We start from the raw sequence: 25829 nt of genomic DNA on the forward strand, positions 1-25829 counted from the left end.
TCCCTTTTGGGATTTTTCCCATTCTCTTCAGTGTTCAATTTTCATACATTTACTTTTATGTTTCCCCAGGCCAGAAAGAATGCAGAGTTTTGCACATGTGCCCCCAACCATTGCTGTGCACATCCACGTGCTACAATTAGTCCCAGGCTAAAAGCTACAGAGATGTGAACCTACTTGTATAGCTCCCCATCTCCCTTCCTCCAAGTGAGGAGGTACTCCTCATCAGAGTCTGCGTCTGTTCACTCTCAAGCCCTTCAGGTGGTTGTTTTTTGTAGTATATCTAGGTTTTATGATTATTTACTATGGGGTACATAAGTGTGGGGGTCACCAAGTAGGGTCTTCGTCCATCTTACCCAGAAGTGGAAGTTTGTCATGAATTGGTCCGCAGAGCACTTTGAATAGTCCTGGCCTAAACCACTGTCTCAATGATGGCCCCATTCAGAATGGCATTTGCAAGTTTCTCTTCCATAGTTTTCTACCAGATGTTTATAAGTGAGGTTCAATACCAGATAATGTCAAAACTAATAGAGGAATTCCCAGTTCAGGCAGAGGGAGCACAAAGTGCCAATAATATCCAAATATTGTTTGGTACTGATTGACTTGACAAAGCTCATTTCACAAAAAACCGTTCTGGCTTTTACAGACTGTTCTCAATGGATTTCCCTTCTTTCCTGTCAATGGATTTTCTTTCTTTGCTGGCCTTTGACTTTCTGTGATCTTGGCTGCTGGGAAGTATAAGGCAGAGGAAGTCCTTAGGCAGGAGATAAACCTGGGCCTGTTCCTACAGAGGTGGTCTTTTGAGAGTCCTGGGGTCACTAGTTGGGACAGCAGAAGGCAAAAGTCCCAGGTAGTGTTATGATGGTTTGGAGCAGAGCCATGTCATGAATATTTTAATTTTTTATTTTAAACCCTATGAGACATTGTTGCTTTATGATTGTTTTGTACTTTGGATGTTCATTTAGATGAAGCGGATGGTAAATACCATTCTCAGTCTTCTTTATTCCTTTCTGTGTCTCTCATCTTCCATCTGGGATTGTTTTTGTCTCTAATTCACACTCTTTTGTATTTCCTTTACCATGGATCTGTTGGCAGTTATTTTTATTTTTCAGCACATCCAAGATAGCATTCCACTATTTTGGTTTCCAGTGTTTCTGTGGAGGATACAGCTTACTGAATCCTCACTCCTTTAAAAATAAACTGTCTTTTTATTCCCCTGTGGCTTCTTATCAGATTTTGTCTTTGTCTTTTTGCATAACTTCACTAGATGTGAATATATGGTGTGTTTATATTTAGATGTCTTTTCGTGTATTCTGCTTTCTATTCATTGAGCTTCTTGAATCTGTGGTTTGGAATCTTTCATCAGTTTTGGCAGATTCTCAGCTATTCTCCTAGGTATTGCCTCTGTTACAATTACATGTGTTAGACTTTCTCAACTTATTTTCTGCATCTCTTAGCTCTTCTGTATTTTTTGTATTTTAATTTCTTCATTCTGGATAGTTTCTTTCTAAATCTTCCAGTTCATTTATTCTCTCTTTAGGTCTCTCTAACCTGTTTTAATCCCATCAATTGAGTTGTTACTGTGTTATTTCTAATTTCAGTTCCAGAATTTCTATTTATTTATTATATAAATACACTATTTCACTTTTTATAGTTCAATACCTTGCTTGGACTTTTGAACTATTTCTTTTTTCTTTTTTGAGATGGAGTCTCACTCTGTTGCCCAGGCTAGAGTGCAGTGGCGTGGTCTCGGCTCACTGCAACCTCTGCCTCCTGGGTTCAAGTAATTCTCCTGCCTCAGCCTCCCAAGTAGCTGGGATTACAGGTGCATGCCACCGCGCCCGGCTAATTTTTTGTATTTTTAGTAGGGACGGGGTTTCACCATGTTGGCCAGGCTGGTCTCAAATTCCTGACCTCATGATCTGCCCACCTCAGCCTCCCAAAGTGCTGGGATTACAGGCGTGAGCCACTGCGCCTGGCCGAATTATTTCTTTGAACATAGTAAACCTGTTGTGTCATTGCCATGTTCCATTCCAATAGCTTAAGTTTTTGTGGATCAGTTTCTGTTGTATGTTGCTTCTGCTGGTTCTTATAATTTCTGGTTTCCCTGTAGAGTGAGTTATTTTTGTGTTGTTCACTCTATTTGAGAAGTATTTGTAGAAATAATTTGATGCTTAGGATGGCACATTCTTCCAAAGATGGTTTTCATTTGCTTCTGTCATGTGTCTAAATGTGCCACCATTCTGGGTCTGTCTTAATCCCAATTCAGGTGTTTTGGTTCCTTGGATCAACCAGGTGACAAAGAGGTTTTTGAAATATTTCATTTGGGTTTAAAATAAAAGTTTTTCTCATTCAGAGGATAGCTTTAAATAACTTGGCGTGACATTACCAGAAGTGAAGCTTTTTCTGTTTTATGAAGCTTCTTGTATAAGGCAGGGATTACATCTTTTCTCCATGTTTGGTAGAACCATATATAAAGTCAGCTGGTTTGAGGCTATATTTTGGTGCTTCATTTTCTGGAATGTATTTCCACCTTTGTTTGTCTAGTGCTCATACAATTATTTAAGATTCAGCTTACATGGTTTCTCTAGTTGTATTTCTTCATCTCTCCAGCTTCTTAGCTCTTTATACATCTTTTTTCTGACATGATTTATTATGCTATCTTATCAGTATATATTTCTGTTTTCCTTTAATAGACTCAGAGGTTATTCATGACTAAGGTATTATATTATTCATCTTCATAAGACTAGGTTCTAATATAGTCCATGATAGATGCTCAAATCTTCTGGTTAAATTGAAATATGAAAAATAAAATGTAAAATGGATTGGTAACAATCATAAGGAATAGCTTAATAACTTTACAAATTACATAAAAATAATTGATCCCCACAAGGCAACTATTACTAACATCAGAATCATCACCTCAAATACCGGTAGTCTATTGTCAGTCACTTATTACCAATTATATCTTGACCGTACTCACGATTTCCTACGTGTTTCCTACTGTTTCTCATTTGCCCAACTACCTAACAGCTTTTGATCTCCTTGCCCACTTCGTTCTTTCTACTTTCTCACTTTTACACCACACAGTTCGCTGTTAACACGTATTGAACTAAGCTAAATATATGACAGACTCTGAATTGACTATCATCAAATCTTCCCAACAATTTAATTAAATAGGTGCTATTACTATTCCATTTTACAAATGAAAAAAAAAAGGCTTAAAGAGATGGTTACTTGTCCAAGTTCAGGTGCTAAGAGATAAAAGAGGGATTCACATCACCCAGGTCTGTCTGACTCCAGAGCTCATGTTCTTTACCAGAAGTTGGCAAACCTTTTCTAAAAAGAACCATATAGTTAATATTTTAGGCTTTGGAGGCCATACAGTCTCTGTAGCAACAAGTCAATTCTGCCACTTTAGTGCCAAAATAGCCACAGAGAATATGTAAATGAATGACTATGACAGTTTCTAACACAATTTTATTTACGAAAATAGGTGGCGGGAAGAGTTTGGCTCATAGGTGATAGTGTGCCAATCCCTGCTCTGAACAAGTACACTACTCTGTTATTTTTTTCTCCTTTTTCTCAATCTCCAGAGTTTTCCATTCAACAGATATTGATAGCATTGCTTCTAAGCACAGGGCTGGGATGAAGATGAGAAAATCCCTGCCTTGAGGGACCTCAGATGTGGAAGAGGAGGGCATAAACACACATCTATAGCACAGGCTGACTATGGAAAGTCAGTGCCAAAAGAGAGGCACAGGCTGACCAGAGATTCTTCTGAAGAACACATGAGATCTTGTGGAGTTGGTGATATATGACAAAAGCTTTCTAGCAAGAGCATCGTAGGCAGAGATGCTAAGAAGGATGTTTCCAACAGAAAAGCCAGCAGAAGCACACATTTTTCTATCCACTTGTCACTTATCTTCTACTCAGTCTCTCTTTTTTTTTTTTTTTTTTTGAGACAGAGTCTCGCTCTGTTGTCCAGGCTGGAGTGCAGTGGTGTGATCTCAGCTCACTGCAAGCTCCGCCTCCCAGGTACACACCGTTCTCCTGCCTCAGCCTCCCGAGTAGCTGGGACTACAGGTGCCCACCACCATGCCTGGCTAATTTTTTGTATTTTTAGTAAAGACGGGTTTCACCTTGTTAGCCAGGATGGTCTCGATCTCCTGACCTCATGATCCACCCGCCCTGGCCTCCGAAAGTGCTGGGATTACAGGTGTGAGCCACCGCACCCGGCCTCATCTTCTATTCTCTTTACCAGTATTCACTTACTTCCTCTTTCTTTTCCTTGCCAAAATCATATGCACTTTGGTCCAAATCTGTTTTTGCCTTGCACCTCATCTACTTTCTTCTCTGATTTTCTTTTTTGCCTTCCTTCCTTTTCTTTTCTTTGTATTTACTTCCTTCTTGATTACTGAGTCATTGCTGATTCAATTCTTCTGCAGTGGGCTCAAGGTACAAATTTATATCACAAATTTCATTTGAAGTCGAATTCACGTACATCAACATGGTGGCATGTTCATCTGGTTTGTCTAAGTCAAACAGCTATATAACATTAACAATGTCATTTAGCCCTAGTGAAATATTAACTTGGTTCTGTCAATTCAGTCAAGGTTGAAATCCTCTAGTCGATTTTGGGCAGTCAATAACATCCACTGTTTGACCAGTTTAATTTCCTTTCGTTTCTCTTATGCGTATTTCTACTTTTTGTCTGTCCTGTTAATCTCTCTGTTTTAATCTTTTCCCTTATAATTTTTCTTCTTTTTCCATCAGCCTCCTTTTCTGTACTTTTTGGATTATTGCACTTCTTCTAGAGGCATGCTATCTCCTTTCTCCTTTCTGCAGATATATATATATATATATATATATATGTATATTTATTTATTTATTTATTTAGAGATGGAGTCTTGCTCTGTCACCCAGGCTGGAGTGTAATGGCGTGCTCTCAGCTCACTGCAACCTCTGCCTCCCAGGCTCAAGTGATTCTCCTGCCTCAGCGTCCTGAGTAGCTGGGATTACAGGTGCCTGCCACCATGCCTGGCTAATTTTTTTCTGTATTTTTAGTAGAGATGGGGGTTTCACCATGTTGGCCAGGCTGGTCTCAAACTGCTGACCTCAGGCGATCTGCCTGCCTCCGCCTCCCAAAGTGCTGGGATTACAACCGTAAGCAGGCATGAGCCACCGCGTCCGGCCTCTGCTGATATAGTTAAAAAGATTCTTTGTTCATTAATTCAACTTTTATTGAGCAATTACCACATAGTAGGTCTTTTTCTAGGTGCTGGGCTGGAGATACAAAAATAACCAAAAGAGACAAAAATCTCTACCCTTGTAGAGCTTACATTCTAGTAGTAAGTGAAATAGATAAGCAACAATAAACAAAATAGAAAAGTAAGTTATATATCAAGTATTAAGTGCTATGCGGAAAATTCCTGGGGATCAGGAATTTGGGTAGCCTGTTACAATTTTAAATAGATTGATCAGGAAGGTTGTTAAAAGATCATTTGAACAGGTAGTTGAAGGAAATAAGGAAGCAAGTCATGGAGATGTTTGTGAGGAGTTGTTCTATACAAAAACAAAAACAAAAACACCAGCATATACAAACTCCTAAGGCAGGAGAGTTCTTTTCCTGGTGGAGTTATGGGATTTAAAAAAAAAAAAGGAAAAACAAAACTTTATCTGAGGAATATGATCTCCTTTAAATGATCGGGCCTAGAGAAGCATTGGAATGAAACACCAATCATGTCTCTCCTCCTTGAGCTGAATACTTACCTCTTTTCAAAAGGAATTATTACTATTTTTTAAAGACAGGGTCTCTCTCTATTACCCAGGCTGGACTGCAGTGGTGTGGTAATAGCTCACTGAGGCCTTCAACTCCTAGGCTCAATGAATCCTCCCATTTCAGCCTCTGGAGTAGCTGGGACTATTGCCATGTACCACCATGCCTAATTTTTTAAAAATTTTTTCGTAGAGATGGGGGGTCTCACACTATGTTGTGCAGGCTGGTCTCAGACTCCTGGGCTCAAGCAATCCTCCTGCCTCAGCCACCCAAAGCACTGAGACTACAGGCATGAGCCACCATGCCTGGCCTAATTACCTCTTGAAGCCACATTCTATTTGGCCTCTAGACGAACTGATGTCAACTAGCTACACAATGGCATACAATCTATAGTTCAACATTGTACAGCCAATCATTAACCAACATTATTTCTTAAACCAATGAGAATTCATGACAAACAACCTTTTAAATCACCCTCTCTCCTGATTCGTCCTTTTTTCTTTAAAAAGTTGAGCTTCTCTTTCGTTCTCCAGAGCACTCCCCAAGGCAACTTGGATGTGTGTCCTGGACTGCAATGCTCACGTTGGCCCAAATAAACTCTTTATATTGATTTTACCTCAGCTTATTCCTTTTAAATAGACAGAGGACAATAAGGAGGTCAGTATGGCTGAAGCACAATGGAAGAGGAAGAGGCTAGTAGATGTGATTAGAGCCCACAGGGGCTGGAGGTGATGGCGAAGGAGGAGGCAGGTCATTTAGGGGCTTTTCTATTGGAAGAACTTGGCTTTTACTCTGAGTGAAATGGAAATCCCTTAGAGGGTTTTGGGCAGAGTTAAATGTTGAAATATTTTTTAAACGATCTAAAACGTAAGGAAGCAAGAGCAGAGGCCAAAAGACCAATCAGGAATATATTACAATATTCCAGGCAAGAAGTATGAATATTATAGGGAATGTTTTTCTGGGAATGTTACATTTGAGAATAAGAAAACTAAAGGCCAGGTTTTTTTGTTTGTTTGTTTGAGACAGAGTCTCCCTCTGTTGCCCAGGCTGGAATGCAGTGGTATGATCTCAGCTCAGTGCAACGTGTGCCTTCCAGGTTCAAGCAATTCCCTTGTCTCAGCCTCCCAAATGGCTGGGACTACAGGCACCCGCCACCATGCCTGGCTAATTTTTAGTAGAAAGGGGGTTTTGCCATGTTGGCCAGACTGATCTTGAACTCCTGACCTCAAGTGATCTGCCCGCCTCGGCCTCCCAAAGTGCTGGGATTACAGGCATGAGCCACCGTGTCTGGCCTAAAGATCAGGATTTTGGTGCATAACAAGTACATTTTACTATCCTGTGCTCCTCAAGGGAAAATTAAGAGATTTTTGCCCTGTTAGCTTAAGGAGTGTTAAACATTTTGCATTGTCTTGAGCACTGCTACTAATAAGTGATCTAATACCTGGCACATAGTACACCGCAATATTCGTGGAATGAATAAATACATACTCAATTAAATGGGTAAACTGAATGACAATATCAAGTAACTTGCTTGTGCAGCAGCATTCATTTCCCTCCCTCCTTTTTTTTTTTTTTTTTTTTTTTTTTTGATACAGGGTATCATTCTGCCACCCAGGCTGGAGTGCAGTGGTGTGATCACAGCTCACTGCAGCCTCGACCTCCTGGGCTCAAGTAATCCTCCTGCCTTGGCCACCCAAAGTGCTGGGATTACAGGCATGAGCCACCATGCCCCACCAGGATTCACTTTTTCTGCATACTCTGGTGGTGTTTATTGTTATCTTTACATTTTATTTAGCAAAGAATGTTAAAAGCGCCATGTTATAAGCACACTCCTACCCTCCAAGCAGAATGTAAAGGGTATGTATTTATATATTTTAAGTGGTCCCACAGCAATTTGTACAGTTATAGCAGTTCACAACTATACTCAGTTATGTTTGCTTCTCTCCTTCTCAATAGTCTGTGAGGTTCCTTCAGGTTTGGAACTGTCTTTTATTAATCTTTACATCTCCAGCACCTAGCGCAGGGCTTAGCAACAATTTTTGTTGAAAGTATATACACTGTAATAAAGGGCAGTGGAAAGAAAATATGTGAGTTATCAACACCAGCTAGAGAAGCCTTGTCTGATTCCTGTGAAATATATTCATTTCCCTTAGGAAAAAAAACAATTCTAACCCTATTGCTGTGTAACTTAGCTTCTTGACTTCGAACGGTATTTTAAGGCTTTGAGGAGCTGGAGCAATGTATACTCACTAGAGGCAAAGTGCCTGGTAAGTGGTCTGGTATTGATCAGCAATGATCAGTAAGTACTGGGAAGTGCGTTTTCAGGGCCTGAGACTTGCAAGCTAGTGACAGACCGCTCCAGCTTCCAGTGGACCCGGGCGGGGGCACTGATCAACCCACTTGAGCAGTGGGATCAAGGTCTTCAGCCTTAGCAGTGGGAGCCTCTGCCCGGCCCCCTTCGTTCCCGAGACCCTCAGTCAGCGTCTCCTCCCAAGAGGGTCCCCTCCACCCAGAATGTCCTCCCCTGGGGGAGACCACTCTGTCTGCGGGCCCCCTCCCACAGGAGGGCCCCTCTTCCTCAAGGTGAACCTCTGTCCCCGATACCCGCTCCCAAGACCGAGACCTTGTTACGGCCCCACCCTCCACAGGCCCCTTACCCCCCGGATCCCCTCCCCTGGGGGAGACCCCTCTGTCCGCGGGCACCCTCCTATAGGACGCGCCCCTCTTTCTCAGGGTGAACCTCTGGTTCCCGATACCCGCTCCCAAGACCGAGACCCTGTTACGGCCACATCAACACAGGTCCCCCTCCCCCCGGCGTCCCCTCCCCTCGGAGGAGCCCCGTCTGCGACGCTTCCCAGTCAATCACCCCCAGCATCCCTCCCCGCTCTCACCCAGAACTTCCGCCGCGCCCCCTCCCCTCAGGCGGGACTTCCGCCGGCGCCCCCTCCCCCGCGGCGCCGTCTCCTCCTCCCGCCTGAGGCGAGTCTGGGCTCAGCCTAGAGCTCTCCGGCGGCGGCGCAGCTTCAGGGCAGCGCGGGCTGCAGCGGCGGCGGCGGTTAGGGCTGTGTAGGGCGAGGCCTCCCCCTTCCTCCTCGCCATCCTACTCCTCCCTCCTCGTCATCCTCCCCCTTCGTCCTCCTCGCCTTCCTCCTCCTCGTCAGGCTCGACCCAGCTGTGAGCGGCAAGATGGCGGCGCCCAGGCCGCCGCCTGCCAGGCTGTCGGGCGTCATGGTGCCGGCGCCCATCCAAGACCTGGAGGCCCTGCGCGCGCTCACGGCGCTCTTCAAAGAGCAGCGGAACCGGTAACGGGTCCGGCCGGGGGGCTGCCCCGGGCAGGGGAGGGCGGCCGGGACTCCCGCGGCGGCCCCGGCCTGGACCCAGGCGCCGCCCCCGCCTCGCTGGAGACGCGGAGGGCGAGGCCTGCGCGGGCTGCCTGAGCGCCACCCAGGCCTCCCGACTCCCAGGCACCGCCTCGTGCTCGTGGGTCCCCGCGGGGCCTGGGGCGGGCGCCCCGCTCCCCCACCGCAGCCAGTCCGGGTGCGAAGCCGCGATCCCGGGAGCCCTTGCCGCGGCGTGCCGGTGATGTTGACCCAACACACGGTTAGGCCTCCCCTGTCATGTGCGAGGGCTGCGCCAGGCCCTGGCTGCAAGACCCACGCGGCCCCCAGAGTCATAAAGCGTGTGTTTTAGCGGGAGAGACCCGTGTTACGGACGCGGGAATTGGGCAGTTGCGGGGATGGCAGTCTCTAGGCATGGAGTGGGACTGGCACTCCTTTCTCCTCGGCGTTAGAGCCCAGGCTGCACCATCTGCCCTGGGGGCAGCGCTCTGTGCAGTGTGGAAGAGCACGGGCCTGGAGAGACCAGTCCAGTCCTGATGCCACTGAGGGGCAAGATAGCCAGGCAAAAAGAGAAGGTGCCCAGGAGTCGACAGTTGTGGATTTGGTTCCTGGCCTTGCAAGCTGCGTGTTACTGTGCAGTTTCTCCAGGCCTTAGAATTCTTGTCTAAAAATGGGACTATAATACACAGCTTAGTTGCTGGATTGTACAGAGGAATAAATGAAATAAAGTACGTGAAAATATAAAATGTGCGAAGCCCTCAGTCAATGCTTGTTTGATCTTGTTCTGTCCTCTGGGCCTCAGTTTTCTTGTCTATTTAATGGGAGTAAAGTTGAACAGTACCTCCCTGGTGATAGTGTCATAAGGAGTAAATGAGATATAATGCATATTAAATCCTTAGGACATACCTGTACATAGCACTAAATGTAGCTGATATTATCACTTAACACATTGATTGGTAGTTACCCATGTATCAGCTATTGTGCTAGGTGATGGGGTAGGAAAATGGAAAGTCCTTGCTCTCTCCTGTACTAGTATGTACAAGATAACACAGCTGTGGGGGTATGTATGTACAAAGCAGAGGGAACATTGAAGAAAGAAATACTGAGACTTGGGTCAGCCTAGGTGATCACTAGAGGACTTCCTCTCTTTAAACTAGACACCTGGTCTGAGCACTTCCTTTACCTCACATCACTTTGGGAAATGTGGAGCTGCTGAAGGAATGCTATTAATAAAAGTCCCTGGTACTGCTCTATGGGCCTTTGGGGGAGATGTATTTATTGATTTAATGCTTAGGCATTTCTGTATCATGATGGACCCTCCTTTTAGTTAATAACCCAGTCATCAACCATTTATTGAGCACCTACTATGAAACAGATTTTTTTGTTGGGGTCTGAGGGTACAGAGAGGAATGATGTGAGTGATCCCTTTTATCAGGCATATTTGGGAAATAGCTAAATAAACACATTGTAATGGAAATCTATACAAGAGGTGGTGGCACAGGGGAGCATGTGGATATGTTGGAAGATTGGCGAGCCAGGAGAGGCTTTTTAAGGTTATTTCAGGTGCTCGGTTATAGATGAGAGGACTAGAGGGAACAGTGTCTGCAAAGGGGCCATATGTTAATTTTGCAAAACCGATGAGACAATTAAGTAACATAGATAAGGTTTCTCGTACAGAAGAGACATTTAGTCAGACATCAGTTCCCTTTTTATAACTTGGAGAAAATCCAAGCCCCTGAGCCAGTTTAGAAGGCCCTTCTTGACTCTATCTCTTGTGAGGGAAGAAGTTACAGAGAACCATTGATGGTTTTTGTCAAGGGAGTGGCGCGATAAGATCTGCCTGTTAGATCTTCCTGGCCGCCTCCGCCTCCATTGTGGGGAATAAATGAGAGGACGAAGCTAGAGACAGGGGGGACCTTTAAGGAGTGGTAGCGGAAGCCCATGTGAAAGAGAAAAGTGCCTAAATTAGGACATTGTGGGGATGAGTAGAATAAATACTGAGAGATACAAGGTTGAATGGACAGGACTCGGACCAGTTGGATTGTGGGGGGGAGAATGAGGAAATGAGGATGCTTCCCAGATTTCATCTGAGTTCTGGGACAGTGTCCTTGTTCCAGGCAGAGATTGGAGACCAGGAAAGGTGAACTGATGTGCAGGTCCTGGCATGGAAAGACACAGTTGTGTGGTGGTGCAGAGAACTCATGATCAGGGTTTATAAGGACAGGCTTCTGGTCCTGGTTCTGTCACTGCTTCTCTTTGTCTTTGGACAAATTATAAGGGTCTTGTGGGGCTGGGCCCAGACTCCTGCTCCTCTGAGAGGATCCCTCCAGTTCTGATGCTCAGGGAGCCAGTGTTTGTCCTTGGGGGTCTCCTCTTCAGAGAGGACATAGGGCTGTTGTCTAGTATGAACAGGAACACAGATGGATCCAGGGGGAGGATGGGCCAAGGTGTTAGAAGGTGGACGAGACAAAAAGCCAGGCAAAATGAGTCCTCAGTGTAGCAAATAGAAAACAGCAGACAAAAAGCAAAAACAGTGAGGAAAGTAATTAAGAGATTCTTCTCTTTTGGTGGAATACATTATTTCTCTAGGATTCCATTTTATATTTGAAGAATCATAGACATAATGTAGTTGGTGGTCCTTCTGAGCTCTTCCATGCTACAAAACAAACTTCTGTCAGTGGTAGCTTGAGTAATAGAAGTGTCATGCAGTGGGAAGAGCAGTGGCTTTGGAACCATGGAGACCTGGATGTGAATCCTGGTTTAGTTTGTGAGGCTTCTTGTTTCTTTCCTTGAAAACGGGATGATGGTAGCCACTTTGACAGATTATTTTGAGGATCTGTAATATTATATGTGTAGCATAGTGGTTTATGCATAGTAAATGCCATTTATTTAGGACCTGTTATTAAAATATAACAAGGTTGTAAGTGACCAAGAATCCATTTGTGTTGAATCTCCTGTCTTATCAGAAACAAAAATTGCAGCTATTTCAGGAAGACAGTTCTAATTTTGGGGTTTCCGGAGAAGGGGATCTCAGGATCTCATTACAATTTTAGCAGCCCCCAAGTGAAAAGAAATTCTTACATCCCATTGTGGGAATTTTAAATATGTCCACAAATTCTTTGATACTCTGACCTTCTCAAGAGGAGGAGGTTAATTCTTTTCTCCTTGAGTGTGGGCTGAACTTAGTGACTTGCTCCTGAAGAGTAGAATATGGTAGAAGTGACAGTGTGCGACTTCTCAGACTAGGTCATAAAAAGCATCGTAGTTTCCTCTTTGCTAGCTCTTTCTTGAATCACCCACTCTGACAAAGCCAGCTGCCATGTCATGAGGACACTCAAGCATCCATATGCAGAGAGCTGTGTGGTGAGGAGCTGAGGCCTCCTTTGAACAGCCATGTGATGAACTACCTTGGAAGCAGGTCCTCTGAGCTCCAGTCACATCCTCAGCCACGTGTGCAACCTCATGAGACACCCTAAGCCTCTCAGATCTGTGTGAGATCATAAATGTTATTGTTTTAAAATGCTAAATTTTGGGCTAATTTGCTATGTAGCAATACATCATTAATACACCAGTCTTAATTCTCCATGCTGTGTATTAAATGCATTCTGTAACCCACTTCTTAAACAGTGTCTTGGTCACTAAAATAATTTAAACATATTGCTTATGGTCATATAATATCAGTATTGAGATATTCCTCAGCTGTTTCTTCTCTGTGTAAGATAATTCTTTTTTCTCACATTTGTTTTATACTTTTTGTTTAATGTAGATATCACCGTATTTCACATTTGTTTAACAAGTGATTTATCTTGCTGTGAGTCTTTGCAAGTCATGTTAAATTCTTTCTGAACAAGTAAGACAAACATTTAAAATTCTATTTTAGTTGCTCCTTTAATTATTTTTCTTTTTTTTTTCCGAGACAGGGCCTCACTTTGTCATCCAGGTTGGAGTGCATTTTTTCTAGAGAAGGGGGTCTCACTATGTTGCCCAGGCTGGTCTCGAACTCCTGGCCTCAAGTGATCCTCCTGCCTCGGCCTCCCAAAGTGTTGGGATTACAGGCATGAGCCACCGTACCTGGCTAGTTGCCTTTATGATGCATCCATGAGGCATCTCCAGACCCCACAAAGTGTAGAGCCAGGTGAGATGGGTTGTCATACTCCATCTGTGCTGTTCATTAAGTAGCCACTAGCTACATGTAGCTACTTAATTAATTGAAAATAAGTAAAATTAATGTTTCATTTCCTTAGTTGCATTAGCCATATTTTTTAATTTGTTTTTTTTTTTTTGAGACAGTTTCACTCTTGTTGCCCAGGTTGGAGTGCAGTGGTGTGATCTTGGCTCACTGCAACCTTCGCCTCCCGGGTTCAAGCGATTCACCTGCCTCAGCTTCCCGAGTAGTTGGAATTACAGGCATACGCCACCACACCTGGCTAATTTTGTATTTTTAATAGAGACGGGGTTTCTCCACGTTGGTCAGGTTGGTCTTGAACTCCCGACCTCAGGTGATCCGCCTGCCTTGGCCTCCCAAAGTGCTGGGATTACAGGCATGAGCCACCGTGCCCTGCCCTTTATTACTATTTTTTTAGAGACAGGGTCTCACTCTGTTGCCCAAGCTGGAGTGCAGTGGCACGATCATAGTTCACTGCATCCTCGACTTCCTGGGCTCAAGCAATCCTCCTGCCTCCTTCCCCAGTAGCTGGGACTACAGGTGTACACCACCATGCCCAGATAATTTTTTTGTTTATTTTTTGTAGAGATGGGGTCTCGCCATGTTGCCCAGGCTGGCATTAGCCATATTTTAAGTGCTCATTGGCCACATGTGATGTGACAGCACAGATATAGAATATTTCCATCATCACAGAAAGTTCTGGAAATAGTGCTCTTCTGTAGTAAGTTTTCTATAGGGGAGATTGTATTTTGACTCTTGAGTATTCTTGAAATAATGGAACATTTGGATGCTGCTTTCTATAAATTCATCTCATACTTAAACTGATACCTCATTGGTCTTCCACCTGATGAGCTTCTTGAATGAAGTGGGCACATCACATTCACTGTATGCCTGGCATCTAGCATAGAGTTGATAGTGGCAGATGCTTATCAGTTTCTTGTGGAGTTGCTGCTATTTCTATAACTTATTACTCATTGCACTTGCTTGGTCTTTTTCTTAGTCGTGTAGACAGTAATTTTTTTTTTCAGCTTCTATCAGTATAGCTCATTTTTTCTCTTCAATCTGCTTAGACAAAATGAGGTTTTCGTTGGTGTTTAATTTAAAAATTAAAAAAAAATTCAGGCCAAAAGGTCTTAAAAAAAAAAAAAAGAAAAGGCAAGTCCTGGACTTAGAGAAGTATTTAAAATATATATGATAAAGAAGTTGTTTCAGAATATATGAAGTACTCCTACCTACAACTCAATAAAAAAGACTCCTACAACTCAATTTAAAAATTGGGCAAAATCTGTGCTTTACAAAGAAAAATAAAGGCCAATAAGCGTATGATAAAGTGCTCCAAATCACTAGTTATTAGGGAAATGCAGTTAAAACTTCAGTGAGAGACTACTGCATGCCGTTTAGGATGGCTATTATCCAAAAAATGGAAAAGAACAAGTATCGTTGAGGATGTGGGGAAATGGGAACCCTTGTGTGTTGCTAGTGGACATGTAAAGTGGTGCTGCTACTATGGAAAATAATTTGGTGGGTCCTCAAAAAGCTAAACATGGAATATGACCAAGCAGTTTTACTCTTAGGTATGTGCCCGAAGAAAATGAAAAAGGACAAATTCTGTATGATTCTGCTTTTATGAAGTACCTAGAACAGACAAACTTGTAGAGACAGAAAGTAGATTAGAGGTTACTAGGATTTGGAGAGAGGGGAAATTGGGAGTTACTGCTTCATGTTTACAGAGTTTCTATTTGGGTGTTAAAAAAAATTTTGGAAGTAGAGGTGATAGTTGTACAACATTGTGAATATAATTAAAGCCATTGAACTGTAGACTTAAAATGAACAACATGGCAAATTTTATGTTATATATATGTATTTTACCACAGTTAAAAAAATTAATAATACAATGTACCAAAATCCATTTAATTGTACGCTTTAAGTGGGTGACTTTAGTGTGCCACGTGAACCCTATCTCAATAGTGCTGTTATAAACAAATCCATAGTAAGGTGCCTCTGCATCCCTATTAGAATGGCTATAATGAAAATGAGTGACACTGAATTTTGGTGGGCATGTGAAGCTATATATTTATGATTTTTAAAAAGTCACATTGTTTGGAGTAGAGGGGATGTGTTTAAAATGTGAACTCCTCCCTCACTGCTATTTTTGTTTCATAATAAAATAGCCTTTTATGTATCTTTTTCCCTACTCAGTAGTGCCTTTCTTGAAGGGAGGGACTTTATGGTGTTTCTTAGCAGGGTGCCTGGCCCATTTTGGGTACTCTGTAAATGTTGAACTGAACTGAATAGAGCAATGAAGAGCCAGTAGCTCCAGTGAGCCAATCAGTAATTACTCAAATTGCTAAAATGCTATTGATTAGTTTACCATGTAATTCATTCATTGACTCACACCACACATGATACATGTAAGATCTGTGCTTAGTGCTGCAGCTGTGATTGATAGGATAAAATTAACTATGTGTAGCTTACTTTGAACTACTGACATAGGAGTAGCTCACATGCTATTAAATTATTAAATTTAATACATTTGTAATTTGCTAAAAATGTATATTTGTAATTTATATTTACAAAATAAATTTGTAAATTTGTAAATATAAATGTCTTAAGCCTTCATTCCTTTGCTTATACACACTCTTCATTTTCCCTCAAGGTTGAGTTACCATTTCACTTCCTTTTGAAAGCCGTTTCTGACCTTCAGGTGCTTTTGCCCTGTATTCCCTTGGCACTCTGTGCTTACCTCTTTCAAAGAACTTCACATAATCACTTAATTACCTACCAGTCTCACTAGAGTGAGAGCAGCCCGAGGCCAGGACTCTTATTTACCTCTGTTTTCAGTACCAACTTTCAGGCCTACCACATAATGAGCATCCAATAGTATTTTTATTATTTTCTTGAACACCTGATTTTCTTGAGCCATGAGAGAGAAAATGAGAGCATACAAGAAAGACTTTAATTAGGAGGGGACAGGAAACGTTAAATATGACAGATGACTGATTTCAAGGGGTAAAAAATGACTTGGTATTGTTACTTGGTTGTATAAATATGTTGACTAACCTTCATAAAGAAAGTGAATAGATTAAGCACTTTAGAGGTCAACATACCACAGAGGTAAAAAATAAACCTATCCATCTGTGTATACACACGCACATGGATTTTCCCCGGACATTACTGAGCCTCTGGGCAGCAAGTGTCTTTAACTACACCAAAACACACAAAAACCCAAAAAACAAAAACCCACACGAGTCGTCAGCTTGGCTGAGGACGCCATATGGCGTTTTGACTCAACCATGATTCAGCTCAACTTTGTTGAGAGAGAACATCAATTAAGTTACACTATAAAAAGCATATTTTAGAGTGTGCTGGCAATTTCCTTTATTTTTACCTATGCCATGAGCTGGAATGCTACATGGAATTGTTTGGTAAGGTGTTCTGACTCAGCTTCAAAATACAGAAGTGGTCAGTGTGAGCCACCTCATACATTCAATTATCTTAAATGCATGAAGTAGACAGGAAAGAGTTTGAGCCAGCCGAAATAAATAAAACCAATCGAAATAAATAAGGTTAGGATTGTGACCACCAGTACCCTCAGAGCAGAGTTTCTCAGCTCTTTCATTCTTCCAGTCTTTTGTAGTGGTCACTGGACCCAAGGGCTTGGTCACTGGACTGTGGGCAATGACACTCAAAAGCAAAGGAACTGTGGGACTACCAGTAGGGTGAGCTGGGCCCTGTGATGGCCACAAGCTTAGAGAAGTTATTAGAGTTAACGAGATGATCCATAAGTGGGGGATGCTCTTTCATTATAGCTATTGAGGAGTTTGTGTACTGCTTAGAACAGTGTCTGGCACCTAATAGACACAGTTTAAGTGTTAGCGTTTTCGTTGTTGGTGTCATTGTCATCATCATCATCAATGAGAATATTATAAAACTATCAAAAGACATTTAAAAAGACTTAAGTGGTAAGATACACCATTGTATTATAGGAAACCTCAATAACAAAGACATCAATACCTCCCAAATTGACCTGTGGATTCAATGCCATTCATAATAAAATTGCAGCAGGGTTTTTGCTAGAAATTCACACAGATTTTCTAAGTTATATGAGAAACTCCTAGGTTTTCTCTTACTCTCTGAACTGTCATCCCTTTAAGGCTTTTTTGTTTTTTTGAGATAGGGTCTCACTGTGTCACCTAGGCTGGAGTGCAGTGGTGCCATCACAGCGCCACCATGCCCCGCTAATTAAAAATTTTTTTTTTTTTTGGTAGAGATTAGCTCTCACTATGTTTCCCAGGCTGGTCTTGAACTCCTGGGCTCAAGTGATCCTCCTGCCTCAGCCTCCCATAGTATTGCGATTACAGGTGTGAGCCACTGTTCCTGGAACCCTTTAAGGTTTTTTTACATGAATCCTCTTCTGACTCCCCAGTTCTTAAGATCCTTCTCTATGCCCTCAGCAAAATTCCCTGTATCCTGAACTTCTGTAAACATCCATTCATCTTCTTGATCTAAATGAAATATGGCTCTGAGGACATGCCTTTCCCAGGGTTCTTGAAAGTGGGAGGCTGTTTTCTCTCCTGCACTCAGTACAATGCTTGGCTCAAAGGTGTGGTAGTTCTCCTTGATTGTCATTGCTGCTTTCAGACCTTTTTCCTCCATAGACCACTCCAACTTTTAATCTCATGACATCAGAGTATCCCTTGTTTAATCACTTTTGTGGTTAAAAGAGACCTTTGGGTCAGTCTGCCTCATTCCTTGAAGAGTTTAGCCCTGGCTCACTTTTCACTCTATTTCTTCTCCTGTCTTAAATCTTCGTTATTTCATTGTTTATATAGATTTTCCTTTCATTATCCTGACCTCGAATTTCTTTGACTTTCTCTCCCTTAGTGAGCTTGACCTCCATCCCATCTCAGACACACATTGCCATACCTTACTTAGACTTTATCCATAACTGTAGCTGCCTTCCCCCACAATCTCGAGTCCCAATCCCTGTTTTATCTTCTCTTTAGGGCCCTTGCTTCATCAAGTCTTTAACCTCACCAGGACCTACAGTCTTTTGACCCTATTTCCTATTTACTACCCCTTTTGTTTTTCATTCCCCTTCTTAATGTTCACATTCCCATCTTGATCTGGCTTAGATCCATGGATGAGTAATAAGAGCATTTTTTAATGTACATCCTCAACTCCACTGCCTCCTCTCTAAACTTTGTTATGTTTGCCTGGTAAAACTCCAGCTCTGGTCAAATCCAACTTGTTACCTTTGCGACAGTACCCAAATAGCTGAACAAGGCTAGAGAAAAACATACAGCCGTGCAGACTGCTCTCACTTTAACTTGCTGATCACTAACTAACGTGGCCCTTAATGCTACCTGTCAGTCCCGCTGTTTGCCCTGGTCCCTTGACTCTCCTGCTCCCCGAGTCAGGTATTTCATGCTCCACCCTCTTCAAACCTCCATCCCATCTCCCTCATCCTCACTCTCAGCTCTCTGAAAATAGGAGCAACTAGAAGATAATTTCCAGGAACTCTCATCACCCTCTCTGCCCACCTACTTGTATCTGTGCCCGTAGCCTGCCTTTGCTTCTGGTCTGTGGATTAGCGATCTTGCTCTGAATATGAGCTCCCCTTAAGTTTGCACTAAATTCCATTGCCTTTTGCACACATTGCTCCAGCAGTCTTCTTCTCTCCCCCCTTAAAAATCATCAGTTTTACCCTTTCTATTGGATTGCACTCATCAGTTTATAGATCTGCTGTAATTTTTCCATACTAAGAAAAATCTCTCCCTCCATTTCCCTGAGTGATAATCCTTCCCGGATCTCAGAACTCAGTCCTCAGACCTCTTCTCTTTTCTGCCTATATTTACTTTCAGAGTATTCTCACTCAATCTTGTGGCTTTAATAACTTCCGTTTGCTGGTGACTAACATTTTTCTTTAGCTGGACTTCTTTGTTTTTTTTTTTGAGACAGGGTCTCGCTCTGTCACCCAGGCTGGAGTGCAGGGGCACGATCTGCAGCCCTGACCTCCCAGGCATAAGCAGTTCTTCCACCCCAGCCTCCCTTGTAGCTGAGACTACAGGCATCCACCACCACACCCGGCTATTTTTTAAATTTTTTTTGTAGAGACAGGGTCTTACCATGTTGCCCAGTCTGGTCTTGAACTCCTGGCCTCAGGTGATCCACCCACCTTGGCCTCCCAAAGTGCTGGGATTACAGGCATGAGCCACTGCACCTGGCTTAGCTAGATTTTTCTCCTGAATGCTAGACTTGTTTATTCACCTGACTACTTCACATTCTACTTGTATTTCTACTGATCCTCTCATCCACCAGATATCCTCAGAGTACTCTTGTTTCTGTAAACAATAAATACATCTTTCAATTTATGGCTCAGGCTAAAGTTTTGATGTCATCCTTCACTCCCCTTTTTTAGACACCCTCATAAGAATCCATCATCAAGTCCTATTGGCTCTATCTTTAAAATATCCAGAATTTGATTTCTGTTTACCGTATCTGCTGCTTTCCCTCTGCTCCAAAAACAGCCCCCTAACTGGTCTCCTGCTGTCGTCTCTTTCTCCCTTTAAGATTGATTCTTTACAAAGCAGCCAAAGAGATCCTTTTAACATGTAAGTCAGATGATGTCACCCCTCTGCTCAGAACCTTCCATGGGCCGGGCACGGTGGCTCACGCCTGTCATCCCAGCACTTTGGGAGGCCAAGGCAGGTGGATCACCTGAGGCCAGGAGTTTGAGACCAGCCTGGCCAACATGGTGAAACCCCATCTCTACTAAAAATACAAAAATTTGTTGGGCATGGTGGCACATGCCTGAAATTCTACCTACTTGGGAGGCTGAGGCATGAGAATTGCTTGAACTTGGGAGGCGGGGGTTGCAGTGAGCTGAGATCCTGCCTCTGCACTCCAGCCTGGGCAACAGAGCAAAACTCTGTCTCAAAAACAAAACGAAAAAAAGAACCTTCCATGGCTTCACATCAGGATAAAAGCCAGCGTCCTTCCGTGGCCTACTGTGCCTGTCCAGGGTGGCTCTGTCTTGTCTCTCTGAGTCGCACTTCTCTTTTCTCACTGGGGTTCATTGAAGCCAGCCCTGACTTCCCTGTGACGTGCTCTGTATGCCTTTGCCTCTAGTCCAAGCTCTTCTCCCAGCAAGATGCATAGTTGGCTCCCTCACCTTCTTTGGATCTGTGCTTAAATACTACTTTTAAAATAAGGTTTAAATAATATCTTATGTACAAAATCTTTCTCTAAGCATGTAAAGACATTCTCCTTATATTTTCTTCCAAAGCCTTGCAATTTTGTCTTCCATGTAATTCCTAAATCCACCTGGAGTTACTTTTTGGGTAGTGTAAGTAAGGATCCAATTCAGTTTTTTTCTTTTTAGATTAACAGTTGTTACAGCACCTCTTCGAGCACAGTCCATCTTCCCCAGGTCTTTAATGCTATTGATAGATGCCATTTACCAAGTTACCATGTATACACAGTTCTGCTCTTGGGCTGTCTTTTCCAGTGGTTGACTTTCTGCCTCTGTGCTAATTTCACCTTTTCTTAGCTTCTCTTTCATTTTCTTCTCTTTTCATGTTTTCTTAGAGACAAGGTCTCGCTGTGTCACCCAGGCCTGAGTGCAGTGTTGTGATCATAGCTCACCATAGCCTTGAACTCCTGGGTTCAAGCAGTCCTTCTGCATCAGGCTCCCAAGTAGCTGGGACTACGAGGCACAGACCATCAAGCCCAGCTAATTAAAACAAGTTTTTTTGTTTTTTTTTTTTTTGTAGAGATAGGGTCTTGCTATGTTAGGCAGGTCTTGAACTCTCCTGGCTTCTGCCTCTCAAAGCACTGGAATTATAGGCATATGAACCACTGCGCCTGGCCGCCTTAGTTCCTTTCATTTAGCACAGTGCGTTTGTTCTGATGAAAGATGAATTTTCAATGTGATGAGGACAGTGGGAAAGAGGAAGTGTGTGGTTTTTGGGGAGTGGGGAGAGGACTGGTATGTTTGGAGCCCTTTAAAGCAGGGGTTGCCAGACCATGGCCAGATCTGGCCTACTACCTGTTTTTTTTATGACCCATGAGTTAAGAATGGTTTTTTACGTTTCTAAATGGTTGGGGAGATGATAAAGTTTCATGACACATGAAAATTATATGAATTTAAATTTTAGTTTCCACAAACAGTTTCATTAGAGCCCAGCCATGTTCACTTGTTTAGGTGTTTCCTGTGGCTGCGTTTGTGCACTGGGGGAGTTGAGAGTGTGACAGAGGCTGTTTGGCCATCAGAGCTGGAAATATTCACTCTCTGACCCTTTACAGAAAAAGTTTGTGACCCTGCAAAATGGATTGGTCTGGGTTGTCAGGACGGCTTCGGAATCCTGGATGTGACAGAAGAGGAGAGAAGAGTGTGAAAAGAAGTTTTGAGTTCTGCGCAGATTTCAAAATTTTACCCTAGGCTGTTTGTGGCAGGAGATACAGATGTTTTTATTTTCTGTTTTTGTTCAATCCTGCCCAGTCAAATCAGCAAGATTATGGTTTTAGATAACAACCAGTGATTGTTGTTTTAATCTGTGAACTTGTGTGGATTTTAATAGTTTTTCTCACTGGCAGTTGTTAAACTACTCTAAACCACATATGCCAGTTTTTAAGTAAATCTAAGGTATTAGAATAAATCTTTTAACAAGTATGAAGGTCTTAGTTGTAGCATTACAATGACTAGCATGTAGCTTTTTTTTTTTTTTCAGTAGGAGGTCCCACCTGATGATTGAACTGTAAAATGTGTGTGCATACAGTATATTAGACCTATCTAACCTGTTACATATAATCACAGGTAGTTTTCTTTAATTTTACTCAAACAGAACTTGCCAAGATTAAACCCTACAGATCTGTTCAAACTTGAGGGAAATGAAATTCTACCTTTTGTATAATTCAAAGGATTTTTTTGGTTCTGTAATGTAACATTTCATTTATACATTGTCTTCAGGGTATGCATTCCTTTGTAATAGGAATGTCTAACGGTTGAATTTTAATTGTCCTTGTAAGTACTTTCCGCCTTCTGTGAATGAAGTAGCTAAGCTTTTTAAAGTCGCTGTACATTTTTTGTTAGTTTGGTTAAAGCAGAAATGACAGCAGTTATTATTAATAACTTTTGTAATATTGGAGTGATTGATCTTTACTATTTCATTGTCGTTAATCATTACACATATTTAGCTGCATTGTCTTGACAGTGAACGTAGATTTTGCAGACAAGAGTATACTAGGACTATTCTGGATCTGTAATGCCAAATAGTTTTCTTTCAAGGCTGTAGAGAAGGTAAAGATGTATAGAAGAGTTAAATGCTTTCATAGTATTTACTGTTACTGAATAAAAGCTTCTTTGTCCTCATCTGATGAAAGTTGTTGACATATTATATTGTATAAAAATATGGTGAATAGAAGCTATAGATATTTATTATATGACTCTAGAGGAAGAGTTTTACTGACACCATTTATAAAAGGAAACACATCTAAAACATGTTCTTTGCTCTTAAGAAATTTAAAATACAGTTAATTGGGTTATAACTCCTCCCAGACCCTCAAGCTTATCCACTGTATCATTTAATGGGAAAGGAGAAATTCGATGTTTGCTTAACAGCAGTCATAAAATATCTATATGATATTCACATCTTAAAATCTGACACGTTTTTAAGTTTCTGAGTAGAGATTATATGGATTTCTTAATGGGAAAGGGAGGGTTGAGCTGATGCCTCACTTTCCCCTTTCTGTTGCTGACTCAAAGGGTACTGATTTCACTGCCTATGTCAGGCTTGATTCCTGGCTCTGAGCACAAGCTCTGTAAGTGCTTGGATTACATAGCAAGGCTGTGATGCAGTCAGGGGCCACTTTTGAGTGTGCAAACAGTCTCATCACTGTTTAAAACTTGAACAAATTCAATTAATGGGTGCCAATTCTGGGCCCTAGAGATACAGAAAAGAATAAGATAGTCTCCATTTTTCAAGGACTTAACAGTCTAGCCGGGGAGATAGGTTATATAAATCTTATCTGATGTGGACAAGTTATTCCAGTCTTATGAACAGATCTCCAGGGCTTCATAGAGGGAGTCTGTTTGTCTGGAAAAGTGGAGGAGTTTCTCCAGGTCTGAGTTTCCCAAAGGTTTGAAAGGAGATGCAGGCCAGGCGCAGTGGCTCACGCATGTAATCCCAACACTCTGGGAGGCCGAGGCGGGCAGATCACGAGGTCAGGAGACCGAGACCAGCCTGACCAAAATGGTGAAACCCTGTCTCTACTAAAATACAAAAAAATTAGCCGGGCGTGGTGGCATGCACCTGTAGTCCCAGCTACTCAGGAGGCTGAGGCAGAAGAATCACTTGAACCCAGGAGGTGGAGGTTGCAGTGAGCTGAGATCACGCTACTGCACTCCAGCCTGGGCAACAGAGCAAGACTCCATCTCAAAAAAAAAAAAAAAAAGGAGATGTAAGTTTCTCCCAGGCAGAGGATTGGGAGATTTGGAGAGGACTTTCTTCTGGTGGTGAGATATGTTTGAGCAAAGACAGAAGATTGGCGAAATCGGGGGTTTTCAGGAATCCATGGTTTACAACCTGGGGAGAGCATATGACAGTGATCACAGCTCCACATTATTTTTTCTTTATACTGCAAACGCGAATTATTGTGTGCCAAATAGATGCTGTCATGATTACTCTTTAGTCGCTATTAATAGTTATTTGGATTTCAGGAATGTTTTGGTTGGCCTTAGCTCAGTTAAATGCTTTTCATTTGGTTAAAATTATTATAAGGGCATGGTGCATATATAACAAATTACCATGTAGCATTGGGAATTATTCACAACATAGTTCATGAACTTAGTATTTATTCTATGGTCGGGAAATCATTTTTCCCATTTTCTTTAAGAATATTGCTTTTCTTCTGTCTTGTTTAGTCTGTACCATAGTTTGATTCCAAAGCTTTTGCTGTGCTAGATACCAATTTTGAGTAAAACAGATGTTACGATTGCAAGGAATGACTTCAGGGAAGACCATTCACGGGGGAAAGGTGGTTCCCATATAAGAGGCAGACGGCAAAGGATCAGGTGAAAGAAATAATTCTCGCTGCTTTCTTACAGCTGTAAATACACATTCTTAGTCATCTCAGTAGGAAAAGAGAGGCGTTATTGAAGCTTATTCAAGTTGCAGAGCTCTACTTTTACTTGACTATAGCATTAAATAATAAATGGCTTCAAAACTTCATGCAGATGGGGCAAATAGAGGTGATTAGTTTTGTTCTTTGTCCTAGAAATTGTGATCAGCCTTAGCATTCTTCATAGTGTTTTAAACTCCTGGTTATTTTCTTAGCTGATGAGTGTCTACAATATATTTGGTACTCCTTAAAGCTACCTTAAGAATGTTAGTGAATCGGCCAGGTGCAGTGGCTCACACCTGTAATCCCAGCACTTTGGGAGGCCGAGGTAGGCAGATCACGAGATCGGGAGTTCGAGACCAGCCTGGCTAATGGTGAAACCCTGTCTCTACTAAAAATACAAAAATTAGCCGGGCGTGGTGGCGTGTGCCTGTAGTCCCAGCTACTCGGGAGGCTGAGGCAGAAGAATTGCTTGAACCCAGGAGGCAGAGGTTGCAGTGAGCCAAGATTGCACCACTGCAACTCCAGCCTGGGCGACAGAGCAAAACTCCGTCTCAAAAAAAAGAGTGTTAGTGAGTATTCTTCCATTCTTCTTACGGCAATGCTGTCACTAAAAAATGGCTTATGTACTTGTTTCATACAGTTTATTGAGGCAAGATTAGTGCTGTACCCTTGAATTTTCATTTCTTAATTTGGTCACTCAGTTGCCGAGACACTGAGTCAAAGTTTCATTATTTACACTCAGGGCTGACTGGGGGAGACATAGACAAATTATTTTATGTGCAGTTTCCCAGTTTTTAATTAATTTATACTCTGCCTCTTTCAAAACCAAGTTTGAGATACCTTAAAAAATAAATACGAGAAAAAGATAAGGGGGGAAATTAGGGGTAGTGGAAAAGCCAGATAGAAAAAGTAAGGATTCATGTTGTTTGGGTCATAAATTTGACTCCAGACTTAAGAAAGGCCCCGACAGAGAGAAAACATAATAAATAATGTGAGTTCTATTGTCTGTTCGTAAGATAAAAACACACATCACTTGGTGTATAAGAAGCCATGGTACTGAAGTTCAAGGAAAGACGTGTTTCCTCTGCCCCCGGAAAAGGGGCTTCCATAGGTGTCTTCTGCGGCAACTGAGCAGCTCTGTAACCTGGGCAGCTCAGTGTCCAGAGTTCTGAATGAACATGTGGCTCCCTGCTGGTCTGGCTCAATCCAAGGGTGAAAGGTAGGGCACTGTGAATCTACAGCGAGAGCAGAAGGAGAAAATTCATATGGTCTGAATCATTTGGCATTTATAGAATCTCTTAAATTGTCCAATGTGGCAACTTTCCTTCTAACGTTAAAAGAGATTTGCTGTTTCTTTAGGGGATTTATGGAATGAGGAAGTTGGCTTGCATTTAGGTGCAATGTTGCACAAAAAATTCTTATCTTT

The 25829-nt window shown here is 42.3% G+C and overlaps 1 protein-coding gene across 3 annotated transcripts in view, besides 3 other annotated features; it reads left to right on the top strand.

Moving 5' to 3' along the window:
• Positions 8406–8595: a silencer, noted in NCBI's record as "silent region_13884". NCBI's record gives its function as "represses an Ori minimal core promoter by ATAC-STARR-seq in GM12878 lymphoblastoid cells {active_cell/tissue: GM12878}" and the evidence as "EXISTENCE:reporter gene assay evidence [ECO:0000049][PMID:35858748]".
• Positions 8656–8705: a silencer, noted in NCBI's record as "silent region_13885". NCBI's record gives its function as "represses an Ori minimal core promoter by ATAC-STARR-seq in GM12878 lymphoblastoid cells {active_cell/tissue: GM12878}" and the evidence as "EXISTENCE:reporter gene assay evidence [ECO:0000049][PMID:35858748]".
• The window catches only part of ATXN10 (ataxin 10), a 173474-nt gene continuing 156377 nt past the window's right edge, over positions 8733–25829 (top strand). For all 3 annotated transcript variants that reach the window (NM_013236.4, NM_001167621.2, XM_047441314.1), the window contains exon 1: positions 8733–9078. In NM_013236.4, the coding sequence (NP_037368.1) occupies positions 8963–9078 (116 nt within the window). In that variant the 5' untranslated portion in view covers positions 8733–8962. The remainder of the gene's footprint in view (positions 9079–25829) is intronic.
• Positions 9036–9365: a silencer, noted in NCBI's record as "silent region_13886". NCBI's record gives its function as "represses an Ori minimal core promoter by ATAC-STARR-seq in GM12878 lymphoblastoid cells {active_cell/tissue: GM12878}" and the evidence as "EXISTENCE:reporter gene assay evidence [ECO:0000049][PMID:35858748]".

The sequence above is a fragment of the Homo sapiens genome, chromosome 22 (genome assembly GCF_000001405.40).
Source record: "Homo sapiens chromosome 22, GRCh38.p14 Primary Assembly".
In the NCBI taxonomy this organism is placed as follows: domain Eukaryota; kingdom Metazoa; phylum Chordata; class Mammalia; order Primates; family Hominidae; genus Homo; species Homo sapiens.